The sequence below is a fragment of the Homo sapiens genome, chromosome 22 (assembly GCF_000001405.40).
Source record: "Homo sapiens chromosome 22, GRCh38.p14 Primary Assembly".
NCBI classification, from domain to species: Eukaryota; Metazoa; Chordata; class Mammalia; order Primates; family Hominidae; genus Homo; species Homo sapiens.
In genome coordinates this window covers 49,881,053-49,893,836 of record NC_000022.11, presented here as the reverse complement: position 1 = coordinate 49,893,836, position 12,784 = coordinate 49,881,053, and the positions used below count along the sequence as shown (strand labels likewise).

At 47.4% G+C, this 12,784-nt stretch overlaps 2 protein-coding genes across 7 annotated transcripts in view, besides 2 other annotated features; one reads left to right on the top strand and one right to left on the bottom strand.

Annotated features, from left to right (window-relative positions):
* ALG12 (ALG12 alpha-1,6-mannosyltransferase) overlaps positions 1 to 12,784 on the top strand; it is a 59,128-nt gene that overhangs the window by 24,602 nt on the left and 21,742 nt on the right. The window lies entirely within an intron of this gene.
* ZBED4 (zinc finger BED-type containing 4) overlaps positions 3,757 to 12,784 on the bottom strand; it is a 37,231-nt gene continuing 28,203 nt past the window's right edge. For all 5 annotated transcript variants that reach the window (XM_047441685.1, XM_047441686.1, NM_014838.3 and 2 more), the window contains exon 2: positions 3,757 to 10,503. In XM_047441685.1, the coding sequence (XP_047297641.1) occupies positions 6,659 to 10,174 (3,516 nt within the window). In that variant the 5' untranslated portion in view covers positions 10,175 to 10,503 and the 3' untranslated portion in view covers positions 3,757 to 6,658. The remainder of the gene's footprint in view (positions 10,504 to 12,784) is intronic.
* Positions 5,053 to 5,554: an enhancer, noted in NCBI's record as "H3K4me1 hESC enhancer chr22:50281931-50282432 (GRCh37/hg19 assembly coordinates)". NCBI's record gives its function as "activates a minimal SCP1, AML or CMV promoter by ChIP-STARR-seq in primed H9 embryonic stem cells {active_cell/tissue: H9 hESC(primed)}" and the evidence as "EXISTENCE:reporter gene assay evidence [ECO:0000049][PMID:30033119]".
* Positions 11,848 to 12,077: an enhancer, noted in NCBI's record as "active region_19282". NCBI's record gives its function as "activates an Ori minimal core promoter by ATAC-STARR-seq in GM12878 lymphoblastoid cells {active_cell/tissue: GM12878}" and the evidence as "EXISTENCE:reporter gene assay evidence [ECO:0000049][PMID:35858748]".

The window sequence follows — 12,784 nt, the reverse complement described above, 5'->3', positions numbered from 1 at the left end:
CAATCCTTTATTTCCCTCCCACCTTTTGTCCTTACTGTCCATGTATCTTAAGTCTACCTGTATTTTGAACTCTAAGAGATAGTTTTAGGCAGTCTATTATTTATTTAGCTTTCCCGTTTCTGCTCCTTTCAGGAGTATTCCTTGTTCCTTCCCACATCAAGTGTCCACCTGGAGAATTCCCTCCAGGATATATTTTAGGGCTGGTTGGCTGGTGACAAGTTTCTGCAATTTTTTGTTTTGTCCAAAAACTTAAGTTCATCCTCACTTTTGAGGAATCTTCTCACTGGGTATATAAATCTAGATTGGTAATTATTTCCTTTCAGCATTTAAAAAAAGCCACTCCACCATTCCAACTATTTGTTTTAGAGAGTCAGCTGCCAGCTTTATTGCTCCTCTGAAGGTAAAAGTGTCTCTCCTCCCTCCCTCTGCTTAAGGTTGTCTCTTTCTCTTTGGGTTTCAGCACTTTGCCATGATGTGCCTAGGTGCAGGTTGTTATTTTCAATTTATCCTCATTGGGGTTCAAAGATATTGACACCTATGGCTGATGTCCCAACAGTTCTGGAAAGTCCTCAGCTGTGATCTCATCCAAATGGCGCTCCACCCCTTCTCTCTCCTCTTCTGGGACTCCCGTCAGCTGTGTGCTAGTCTTTTCTCTTGCGCTGTGTCTCTCAGGCACTTTTCATCTCTCTGTACTTCAAGATGAATGTTTTCTACTGGCTTGTCTTCCAATTCAGTAATCCTTTCATCTATAAGCCTAATTTGGTACTAACTACATCTAGGGAATTCTTCATTCATCGTTGTGTTTTTCAGCATTAGCACGTTTACAGATTCTCTCTGGTGGCATTCTCCACCTTCTCATCCATATTATTGAATGTATAAATCATAAAGTCCGTGTCTGAAAACTCCAGTATTTGGATCACCTGTGAGACTATTTCTATTGTCTTATGATTCTCTTTTCAGTCACTTAGTCCTTTTTTTCAGTGTGTCTCATAATTTTTTTATGAGAGTCAAACTGTTTATCTGTAAAGTTATAGGAGCTCTGATGTTTTCATTGAAAGAAAATTTAGTTTTCCTCTAGCAGAAAGGTGAGGCAGATCGCCCTGATGCAATCAAGGCTGAGATGGCTCAAGCCATGTCCAGACTTGGTGAGGGTTGGTCCCTCTCCAGTTTGCCCTTCAGGGGACTCACCTGGAAACCTCAGAGTTTTCTCAATGGCAGGCACTGAAGTCCCAAGTTTTGTCTCCCTTGCCCAAAGATGTCTCAGCTTTCCAGCCTTTTGCTGCTATATTTGGGTTTCCAAGCCTCTTGCCTCAAGCACAAGCAGCAACCAGGAATAGGCACCTGCTGCAGGGGAAGCTGCACACTGGGAATTCGGCCACTTCTCTGAGGCTCCTGGCATCCTGGCCAACATGACAGCTTGTGTGTTGCTGCCGGTCTCCCAGCCCAGTGACACCACGCCAGCTCTGGTTGCCACCTTCTGTCAGGCCTTAGGGCAGGACACCAGCAAATGGCCCAACAGGAAAAAATGTTGTGAACACAGGACTCACCTTTATGCAAGTCTCATCTTACTAGGATTTTGTTTCTTCAAATCCTGGCTGTCTTACTCTCTGATGTCTTCAAAAAGTTTTTTTTTTTTTTTTTTTTTTTTTGAGACAGAGTCTTGCTCTGTCGCCCAGGCTGGAGTGCAGTGGCACGATCTCGGCTTACTGCAACCTCTGCCTCCCAGGTTCACGCCATTCTCCTGCCTCAGCCTCCAGAGTAGCTGGGACTACAGACGCCCACCACCACACCCAGCTAATTTTTTGTATTTTTAGTAGAGACGGGGTTTCACTGTTTTAGCCAGGATGCAAAAAGCTCTTTTTAAAAATATATTTTATATGGCCTTGATAGTTCTTGGGAAAGGTTTGGTCTGATAGCAGTTGCTGCCTCATAGTCAGAAGTGGAAGAGAAGGGAATTTTAGCTTTAAATGAAGTTCAATGTTTTATTATTGCAGGAGTGGTCTTCAAAAAGTTCATGGAAAATGCATATTATGACAAAACTATGCATGCATTTCAAAATTCTTTTGCTCCAAAATAAACTCATACTAACTTGTTAGAACATGCCTGAATAGATCTAGTTTGAGGCAGTAAGAATCAGTTTGAAAAGGGCTCCTAGCAGAACATGAATTCTGCAAAAACTGAAGCAAAAACAAGCATCAAATCTATAGTGAACCTTGGGTGGAAGAATGGTGAAAATCATGATGCTTTACAAAAAGTGTATGAGGACAGTGCCCTAAAGAAGTCAGCAGTATACACATAGATACCTCGTTTTAAGAAGGATCAAGACAACATTGGAGATGAAGACCACAGTGGCAGACCATCCACATCAATTTGCAAGGAAAATATTGATCTTGTTCATGCTCTGATTAAAGAGGACTGACGATTAACAGAACAATAGCCAAGACCACAGACATCTCAACTGGTTCAAAATTGAAGTTGAGCAAGCTTTCCACTCGATGGGTGCCAAAACCGTTGTGCCCAGATCAGCTGCAGACAAGAGCAGAGCTTTCAATGGAAATTTTAAACAAGTGGCATCAAGACCCTGAAGCATTTCCTTGAATTATAACAGGAGATGGAACAGGACTTTACCAGTACCATCCTGAAGACAAACCACAATCAAAGCAATGGCTACCAAGAGGTAGAAGTGGCCTAGTCAAGGCAAATGTGGACAAGTCAAAGTAAGGTCATGGCAACAGTTTCTTGGGATGCTCAATGCATTTTGCTTGTTGACTTTCTGGAGGGCCAAAGAACATTTTTTTTTTTTTTTTGAGATGGAGTCTCGCTCTGTCGCCCAGGCTGGAGTGCAGTGGCACAATCTCAGCTAGCTGCAAGCTCTGCCTCCCAGGTTCACGCCATTCTCCTGCCTCAGCCTTCCGAGTAGCTGGAGTAGCTGGGACTAGAGGTGCCTGCCACCACGCCCAGCTAATTTTTTGTATTTTTAGTGGAGACGGGACGGGGTTTCACCATGTTAGCCAGGATGGTCTCGATTTCCTGACCTCGTGATCTGCCCACCTCAGCCTCCCAAAGTGCTGGGATTACAGGCGTGAGCCACCGCATCTGGCCACAATAACATCTTATTATGAGAGTGTTTTGAGAAAGTTAGCCGAAGCTTTAGCAAAAACACACCCAGGAAAGCCTCATCAGTGTCTTTCTCCACGATGACAATGCTCCTGGCTCATTCTTCTCATCAAATAAGGGCAATTCTTCAAGAGTTTTGTTGGGAAATCATTAGGCATCCACCTTACAGTCCCGATTTTGCTCCTTCTGACTTTGTTTCCTCATTTTAAAAAATCTTTAAAAGCACTCATTTTTTCTTCCGTTAATAATGTTAAAAAGGCTGCACTGACATGGTTAAATTCCCAGAGCCTGCAATTCTTTAGAGGTGGACTAAATGGCTGGTGTCACAGCTTACAAAAGTATCTTGATCTTGATGGAGCTTACATTGAGAAATAAAAATGTTGTTTTGTTGTTGTCATTGTTGGTGGTTTTAAGAGAGAGGATCTTGCTCTGTTGTCCAGGCTAGAGTGCAGTGGTGTGATCACAGCTCACTGCAACCTCAAACTCCTGGGCTCAAGTAATCCTCCTCCCTCTGCCTCCCAAGTAGCTGGGACTACAGGCATGCACTACCAAACCTGGCTAATTTCTTGAACTCCTGGCCTCAAGCAGTCCTCCCACCTCAGCCTCCCAAAGTACTGGGATTACAAACATAAGCCACTGTGCCCAGCCAAGAAATAAAGTTTTTATTTTTTTATCATCTTTTACTTCAGTATTTCCACAAATTTTTTAAAGTCCCTTCGTATAATGACTGGTAATTTCATTCACTGAAGAGACAGTTCTGAGGCTCATACAAAGAGCTTTTTATTATCTGAGACAGACCTGAGAAATTAAGGAACCTGCCTAAAACATCATTTCCAGGCAGGGAAACAAACAGCTCGCAGCTGGGGTTCTGAACGGAGAGGCAAGGTGGGAATGGCTAAGAATCAACATATTTTCTAGTTGCACCCACAGTCCCCTCATTCAAGTAGTGAGAGTCGTGTGACTGTCAGCACTGGGCCTCTTGTCCATCTTCCTGCAGGACTGTCAGCAACTGGAGGGCAGAGACGGTTTGACCATTGAGTGCCGGTTTCAACAAATGTCCACCAACGAAATGAAGGGAATGTATGAGATAAAATGACTCTCCTAGTGTCATTCAGGAAGGGCCATATTTTCTGTTGAGTAAAGCAAGCCCTCATTTTTTTCTGCAATCCCCTTTTATACACTGACTGTTACTCAGAACACTTCAACTAAAAATACAGCAGCATGAAGCTGAAAGCTTAAAAAAACAAACAAAAAAAACCCCATAAAGGCAGGCTAGCTCAAGGGCCAGCAAACTTGCTATTCTGGAAAGGGCCAAACAGTGAGTATTTTCAGCCCTGTTTGTCCCTTTCAGTGGGCCTGTGGTCTCTGTCACAACTATTCAGTTCTCCCGTCGCAGCCTGAAAGTAGCCAAGACACCATGTTAAAAAAACAGCTGTGACTGTATTCCAAGAAAATTTCACTTAGAAAAATGGGCAGAGTGCCGGACTGGGTCTGTGGTTGCAGCTTGCCAATCGTGGACTAGACTATATGCTCTGTGAGACTAGAGACTGTGTCCACGGAAATCTCTGTTGCATTCCAGGAACTAGCCCAGGCCCTGGAAAAGGGAGGGCACTTCATCTCAGTTGAATGAATGAGTGGATACAATTCTGCTACAGTTAGTTGTGCTGGCTTGTTTTGGAGAGAAAATCCATGAAGCTCAATATCCCAAAATTCTAAGGATATTACCATTCCAAATACAATCTTAAGAAACACAGGACTGCAAGCTGGTCGTGAGCACAGCTAAGCAAGAACTGTGGCTCCCTCCTATCCTGTGCGCAACCCTTTCTACACCAGGATGACACTGGCCAGGGCTGCTGGCGAGGGAGAGATGGGTGGGCCATGGACCCCACCTCCTCTGCAGCCTCACGGGCACTGTCCCTGACCAGCACTCCTGGGCACTCTGGAAGCAGGCTGTTCTCACGGGAACAAGCGCACAGCTACCGGGTAAGAGGACACCAGGAAGAGCGTGCACAGAGGCTGCGGCCAAGGCAACCCCTCAGGGCTGCCCACCGGCTCCTGCATTCTGGCACCACTTGAACACGAGACCTGGAAAGTCATCACCATGGCCATGATCAGAACTGTTGTTGTAAGAATTACATCTCCACTTCCCTGGAGCCCTGTCTGGGGTTAAGGTGAAATTTCAAATGCTGCCCAAGTATGGGCTCTAGATAATGGACCACAAAGAATATGCCTGTTTTCTTATCCTAAAAATAAAAAGCCAGTGTCTGCCAGCACTAGAAAATTGCAAATAAGAAGTTTAATTTCAGAAACTGAGTTCACCATTTATAAATACACTAAAACATAGTCAATGCAAATTTAGATTAAGCGTACGTACAGTATTTCAACAAAACAACTTTTCTAAAAGGTCGTAGGCAAATGAGTGATTAGTCTCACTCAGAATATTTAATTGGTTTAAAATGAGAAAATGAATCTTTTTTTCTCTGAAGACATAACTTTTAAAATCATCTGACAACTGACACTTCACTCTGATGTCCTTGGGATTTGAAAATATCCCAGTGATGGCCGCATCTTCCCTATCATAAAAAAATCTAAACACTAAGGCTATTCTTACAACTGGAATATAACAAGCTTCTTCCCTGTTAATAAGCCATCTCTTCTAAAAAAATTTTACACAAATTTGATCAAACAAGGGGGTCAGTGCACACATTTTGAAAGACAGCTTCAGAGCGTGGAGATGCTGAAGCGGAGGCGTGGGGGTTTCAGCAGGGACCACCTGCCATCAGCGTGTCATTGAACGCACTGGCGAAGTGATGAGCACAGTTACAAAGGGATCACATTTCAGAGGAGCTGATGATAAACAGCTGGGGTATCTCTGAGTTAACTGACCATGTAAAGCCTGAATGCAGAAACCTGAAATGGGAAAGTTCTCAAAATAAGCTCCATGAAACATCTAAGTTTCGTTTCCAAATGCCACGTCTCTGTCGTAGTAAACAGTTACCTTCCAGAATATTATCTGTACTCCGCGGGACACTTTAGAACCTGCGGTTAAAAACTGCTCAGTCAGGATGGCTTGCCCTCCACCTCCTATTTACAGATTTCATTTGATAGCCACAAAAGCTATTCTGTTGCAATTAAAGCAATGCTTCACTAAAATACAGTACCTGATTTGTGGTTTGTACATAATTGAGTAAAAAGCCTACAGAATAAAATGGTTTACATCTTCTTTGTCATTCTAGTAAAACAAATTACTAACCCAAAACTTTAAAAAACTTTACGGTTATGAATTAAAATCTAGTCACCATATTTCATAGTTGACAGGACAAGCTATTTCTAGTGGACGTCTTAATAAAACACCCCGCGAAACTTGGCCTGAAGGAGAAGGGGTAAGGCACGTGGAGACACTGTGGTGAGCTGGAGAGCGGCCCTGAGAGTGCCTGGTCTGATGTCGTACACAGCCGTGGGCAGAGCGGGTCATAGACCTGGTACAGGCTGCTAACGCTGGGGCAGCCACGCCTCTGGCCTAGTGGTGCCGTCGTGAGTTTCAATACTGAAAGTATATTAAGGGAAGATTCACTTTCAAAAAGATAAGTTTTTCAAAATGTTCCATCATGAGCCTGGATTGGCCAAGGCTACCGTTCTCAGTGGGTGTGTTGAACAGCTTTTCTGAAGGGACGATGCTTGGGGGGCAGCCCAAAAATCTGACGGCCAGCGCGGACAGCCCCGGCCAGGACGCCTTCTTCAGGTTCCAGTAGGTGAGCGGGTCACAGCTGTGTTCAAGCACCTCCTCCTCCAGATACGCAAGCACCATGGCTTCAGGCAGCTTTTCTCTTGGGTCTTTCTTCTTCACCTTGGCCACAAGTGACCACAGGTTCTCCTCTGCGGCAGAGTCTTTCGACGGGGAGCCAGCATCACACCTGTGGGAGGCAGCCACGTCCTCTGAGGTAGAATTCATGAGTTCGAGTTCCCTGATTAAATCCTGTTTGTACTGCTCCGCCTCCTCCTCCGTAAACAGGGAGGCCTTGTAGCGAGGATCCAGCAGCGTGGCGAAGACGTACCGCGGGTCGTGGAGGGTGGCAGACAGGCGGCTCACCATGGCCTCCTTCAGAGAGCGCAGCATGGTGTCGATGCCCATCGTCTCCTCGAAGAGCATCTCCACCTTCCTGTTGAGGATGTGTACCATGGGGATGACCTGGCTGAGGGTGGACATCTGCGTGCTCATCTCCCGGCTCGCAGCCTCGAAGGGCTTTAGCGCACGGCACACGGACTGCATGACCTCCCACTGGTCGCAGCTGATCAGCTCTCGGAAGTTACACTCGACGGACATCTCGTTAATGGCCCTTTTCTGCTCAATGAGCCGCTCGAGCATGTGGAAGGAAGTGCTCCACTTGGACGGGACGTCCTGGATGAGGTGATGCTGAGGCAGCGCGTACTCCCTCTGCAGCTCGGCCAGTTTCTCCTTCGCCTTGGGCGACCGGTGCACCCGCTCGCAGATCTTCCGGGCGAGGCTCAGCAGGTTCTGCACCATCCGCTGGCTCTTAATGGCCTCGCTGACGATCAGGTTCACCGTATGGCTGAAGCACTGCACGCTCGAGTGCTCCCCCTCGTTCAGCGTCTTCCCGATGCTGGCGTTGTCGGTGACGGTGATGCCCACCTGAAGGCCGGTGGAGGTCACCCACGCTTCCCACCAGCACTCCAGCTGCTTCTGAATGCTGTTGCCACTGTAGTCGCAGTCCACCTGCGACACGTCCAACAGCGCCGAGCAGTGGTGGTCGTCACAGCGCGGCCGGGCTGGCGACTCGAAGGAAACCCAGTGGGCCGTGAGGGTCAGGTACTCACGGGTCTGGTTACTCATCCATATTCCAGACGTGAAGTGGATCACACCACTCTCAGCTTCCTTAAGGTGGGACATAATTATCTGCTTCACATTATCATACATACCTGGGATAGCTGTCCTGGAGAAGTAGGAAGGGGCGGGGAGGGAGTACTGAGGTTTCAAGTATTCAAGCAGCCTGTTAAAGCCAACGTTGTCTACAAAAGAATATGGCTGGAGGTCAAGTGCAATCATTTCAGCTATGAGACTTGTGATTTTTTTGGCAACTGGGTGAGAATCGTAAAACTTCTCATTGGTGTCATCAAAAGAGGAAGCGCCTGATAATTCTGTGCCCCGCGGCACCCGGGTGTCCGGAGAGGAGGGCCGAGCCGTCTCCGAGACCTCAGTTTTCAGCACGTTGCTATGGAACCGCTGTAAATGTCTCAGAAGACAGCTGGTACCCAAGTTAGTCGGCTTCTTCCCCCGGCTGATGGTCCGGCCACAGTGCAAGCACACGACTTTTGTGGAGTCTGCGGAGCAAATAGAAAAATGATTCCACAGCTTCGAGGTCTTTTTGCTATTAACAGGAAACATAACTTGATTGTTTTTTGTGACCACTGTTGGCAAGTCAGTCAATTTGGAAGAGGAACTTTCTGCAGAGGCCAAAGTGGCATACGGAGAGTTTGCCAGACTTGCACCCAGGAAGCCCTTCTGGCTCCCGACAACTTCTGGATGGCGCCGGTAGAGATGTCTCATCAGGCAGCTGGTGCCCACATCACCCTTCTTCCCCCGGCTGATGGCACAGCCGCAGTACCGACACTCGGCCTTGAGGCTGTCCATGGGGGCCAGGGAGAAGTGATGCCAGACCTCCGACTTCAGTCTTTTCATGACCTTTTTATTCTGCTGGAAGATGGCGCCAGATTCAAACAATCTAGGACTCAGCCCATCAGCCTGCTGCTTCTCAGGAGAGGACGCCGAGGCCTCCCCTATGTCATCGGAAGATGAGAAGGCCGCCACGTCTTCCATCAGCCCATCTCCAGGGTTCAAGTGAGACTGCAAGTCCTCAGTCAGCCTGTCAGGGGAGGAGGAGGCCGAAGGGGACTCTCTGACCGGCTTTACTGGAGACGAGGACACAGAGCTGAGCTCCCCCTCCGGCGGCAGCAAGGAAGGCAGCAGAGTGGGAGGGGTGGAGTACAGTGGCGGGATGCCCGTGCCCCCGTTCTCCTGCAACACGATGGCGCGGTGTGCCCTCCACATGTGCCTGATGAGGCAGCTCGTGCCCAGGTCCTTCCCATTCTTCCCCCGGCTGAACTCGTTCATGCAGTGAATGCAGACAGCTTTGGAGTTGTCCAGTGGCGACAGGTAGAAGTGCTTCCAGACAGCGGACCTTCTCCTGGACCCAGAGGTGCTCTTTGGAAGTGGAAGGCTCTTCTCCGCTAAGTTCTCTGCAGGTTCATCGTAATGGAGAGCAGGGAGGTGGGGAGACGACCCCACCAGGGCTTCTTCTCTGCCGCACTTCTCCGAAACGGACATGTCAGAGGAGATTTCTTCAGAAGAAACTACAGACACAGACTCCTCTGTTATTCGATCGGGGGACGGGATCTTAGACGCCACTTTCTGGACAAGTTTGATGGGTGAGAGGATGGTGCTGAGGTCACCCGCGTCCGCAGGCTGTGGTGGAAGCAGGAGTGAGGGAGAGGGGAACGAGGACACGGCAGACACACTGCCATTTTCCTGAATGAGCACGGTCGGGTGTGCGCGCCTCACGTGCCTCATGAGACAACTGGTACTCAAGTCTTTCTCGTTTTTGCCTCTGCTGAACTCCTTCACACAGTACATGCATATTGCTTTAGTGCTGTCTCGGGGAGAGATAAAAAAATGCTTCCAGGCTGGAGACTTCTTCCTGGAGCTCATGTTCCGGCTGGAAAGGAGGCTCTGGGTCACGGCCTCCATGGCCACGTCGTATAGGGTGCTGCTGTACTGGGAGAACAGCGCGCCATAGTCATCCTCACTCTCTGCAGACAAGTACTTCCCCGGGGGCTTGCAGCTGCAACCCGTCCCACCGAGGCCCGCTCGCTCCCCACCGCTGTCTGTCTGCTTCATGTCCTCCTGCTCGCTTTTAAAGTCCATTCTTTCCAAACTATCAGGAGGAATTCCATCATCATCTTCCTCTTCTATTTTAAACTTTATTTTATCAGAAACGAAATCACCGTCCTCTTTGGGACAAGTTTTCAAGTTATTCTCCATGACTGACCATAACTACTCCGGCTGTATCTTAGGTTCATAAAACACTGATCCAAGTGCTCATTTGTGCCCCCGAATGTAGATTATCTTCACTTTTTCGTCATAATTCCATCTTTCAGGATGTTTCTAGAAATATGGCTAATCATAAATAGTACTGAAAAAAAGAATCTGTGACTCATGGTCTTACAGCATAGATCACTGCTTTCCAAGAGTCCTGCTACTAAACACTCATGGTGTAGACAACAATGTGTGCAGCAGAGACGTGCTTCTGGTCCTGAGGACAGGATCTGCCTGATCATCTTGAGAGCATACACGTGACCCTTGTGCATTACCTATAAGAGATGAAATCAAATTAAGCATGGAACTAAATCACACATTTTAACCTCTACCGTCATGGCTCCATCCGCCTAAATATGTATAGAAAAAAACTGTATAATGGAAAACTGGAATCGAAAAACTTGTTCTCTGACTTCCTGCAATCCGTTTACAGGATGACAATACCCCCAAATTGCAAAATAAGCAAAAAATAGAGACATGAAAAAAAATGCAAGTGGCCTATTAATAAAGGATTGGGGAACATGAATTAAAACCTAGAATGGTATAAAGAGGTTGCCTCATCTAGAATTTATGCCCTCATCCTTCAAACAGTTCATGAGAGGTACTCACAGCTGCTATAATCAGCAAAGCTGAATTCCTTGAGATCTATTCATCCTTCCTTGCTAGAAGACCTGATACATGAAATACGAATTTGAAAAACTCTAGCTAACGTGTGAAATCATCAACCCAGACGAAAAGCTGAATAGGAAACGGACCACAGTGGCTCCTGCATCTGAGAAGGGAAAGGCGTCCTGTGGGTGAAAACCGCTTCCAGCCCATCCTCCTGTCACCCATTCAATGCCCCGTCCCCAAGTGATGCTGCGCCGTGCTGGAATGCAGCCAAGAGGAGACAGTCACGGGACCTGACAGCCAAGAACCGTGAGATTCCAGCTATGGTAAACGCTGGAAGTGAAGGAACATGGCGTTACAAAGACAGGAGAGAGCAGGGCAAGACGGAGAACAGGGGCAGGAGCTGTAAGGGTGTAACTGAGCCGAAGCTCGGAGGACGATGGAGTCATGTGGGGTAGGAGATGGAGCAGTTTACTAAGGAACTAAAACCAAGTAGCAACAAAAGCATGTTTTCAGTAATATGGCAGCATAAATATTCTATAATAAAACCAGACTCTAGAAAACCTCTAACAAACTTTTTTTGAAGAGACGGAGTTTTACTGTCACTTAGGCTGGAGTGCAGTGGCGTGACCACAGCTCAGTGAAGCCTCGACTTCCCAGGTGTGAGCCCTCCTCCCGACTCAGCCTCCCAAAGTGCTGGAGTTATATGCGCGAGCCAATGCGCCCACCACAAACTTACTTTTTAAAGTATTACTGGGCATGCCAGAAAGTGGGAGAACTCTTCAAGGGACACAGGGAGTGGCAAATGGGCAGGAGAGGTGCGCCATCCCTAGCCTGGTCAGCATGGGTCACCCCCACAGGGAGGAGCTGAACCCGACATTCCTCCACCATGCAGGAACCAAGAACTGAAGTCACCACATCATGTATTTTCTAAACCAGGGCATTTCTGAGAGTGAAAGGGAGCTATTAATAATACTGCTGGGGAAACAGGCTTAAGCCAAACCTATCTGTAGCAAAGCAAGATGTATGGTTGCCCTAAAAAGTGTTCCAAGGTTAATAAAAACTGCTAGCTCCCACCAGAAATAAATGCAGGTTCTTTCTGAAAAGCATTCCCAATAAGTTCTACAAAGTACAGCCAGATAAAAAAGAAAAATAAAAAATTAACACAGGCCAGGCACAGTGGCTCATGCCTGTAACCCTAGTACTTGGGAGGCTGAGGTGGGAGGATCGCTTGAAACCACAAGTTTGAGATCAGCCTGGGCAAAAAAACAAGACCCTGTTCTCTACAAAACAAAAAACAAAACAAACAAACAAAAAATGCCAAGTATGGTGAGCCTGTAGTCCCAAGCTACTCAGGAACTCAGGAGGCTGAGATGGGACGATCACTTGAGGGCAGGAGTTTGAAGACTAGCCTGAATAATAGTGAAACTCTGTCTTTACAAACAAAATTAGCCAGGTGCGGTGGTGCGTGCCTGTATCTCAGCTGCTTGGAAGGCTGAGGAGACATGATGATTTGAACCCAAAAGTTTGAGGCTGTGGTGAGCTATCATTGTGCCACTGCACTCCAGCCTGGCCAACAGTGAGATCCTATCTCAAAAAAACAGCAACTGTATTTCTACAGATGAATTAGAAAATGAAAAACAAATTTTTTTGAGACGGATCACTCTGTCGCCCAGGCTGCAGTGTGCAGCGGCACGATCTCAGTTCACCGCAACCTCCGCTTCCTGGGTTCAAGTGCTTCTCCTGCCTCAGCCTCCCAAGTAGCTGGGATTACAGGCGTGTGCCATGACACCCGGCTAATTCCTTTTGTATTTTTAGTAGAGACGGGGTTTCGCCATGTTGGCCAGGCTGGTCTTGAACTCCTGACCTCACGTGATCCACCTGCCTCAGCCTCCCGAAGTGCTGGGTTTACAGGCCTGAGCCACTGCGCCTGGCCAGAAAATGAAA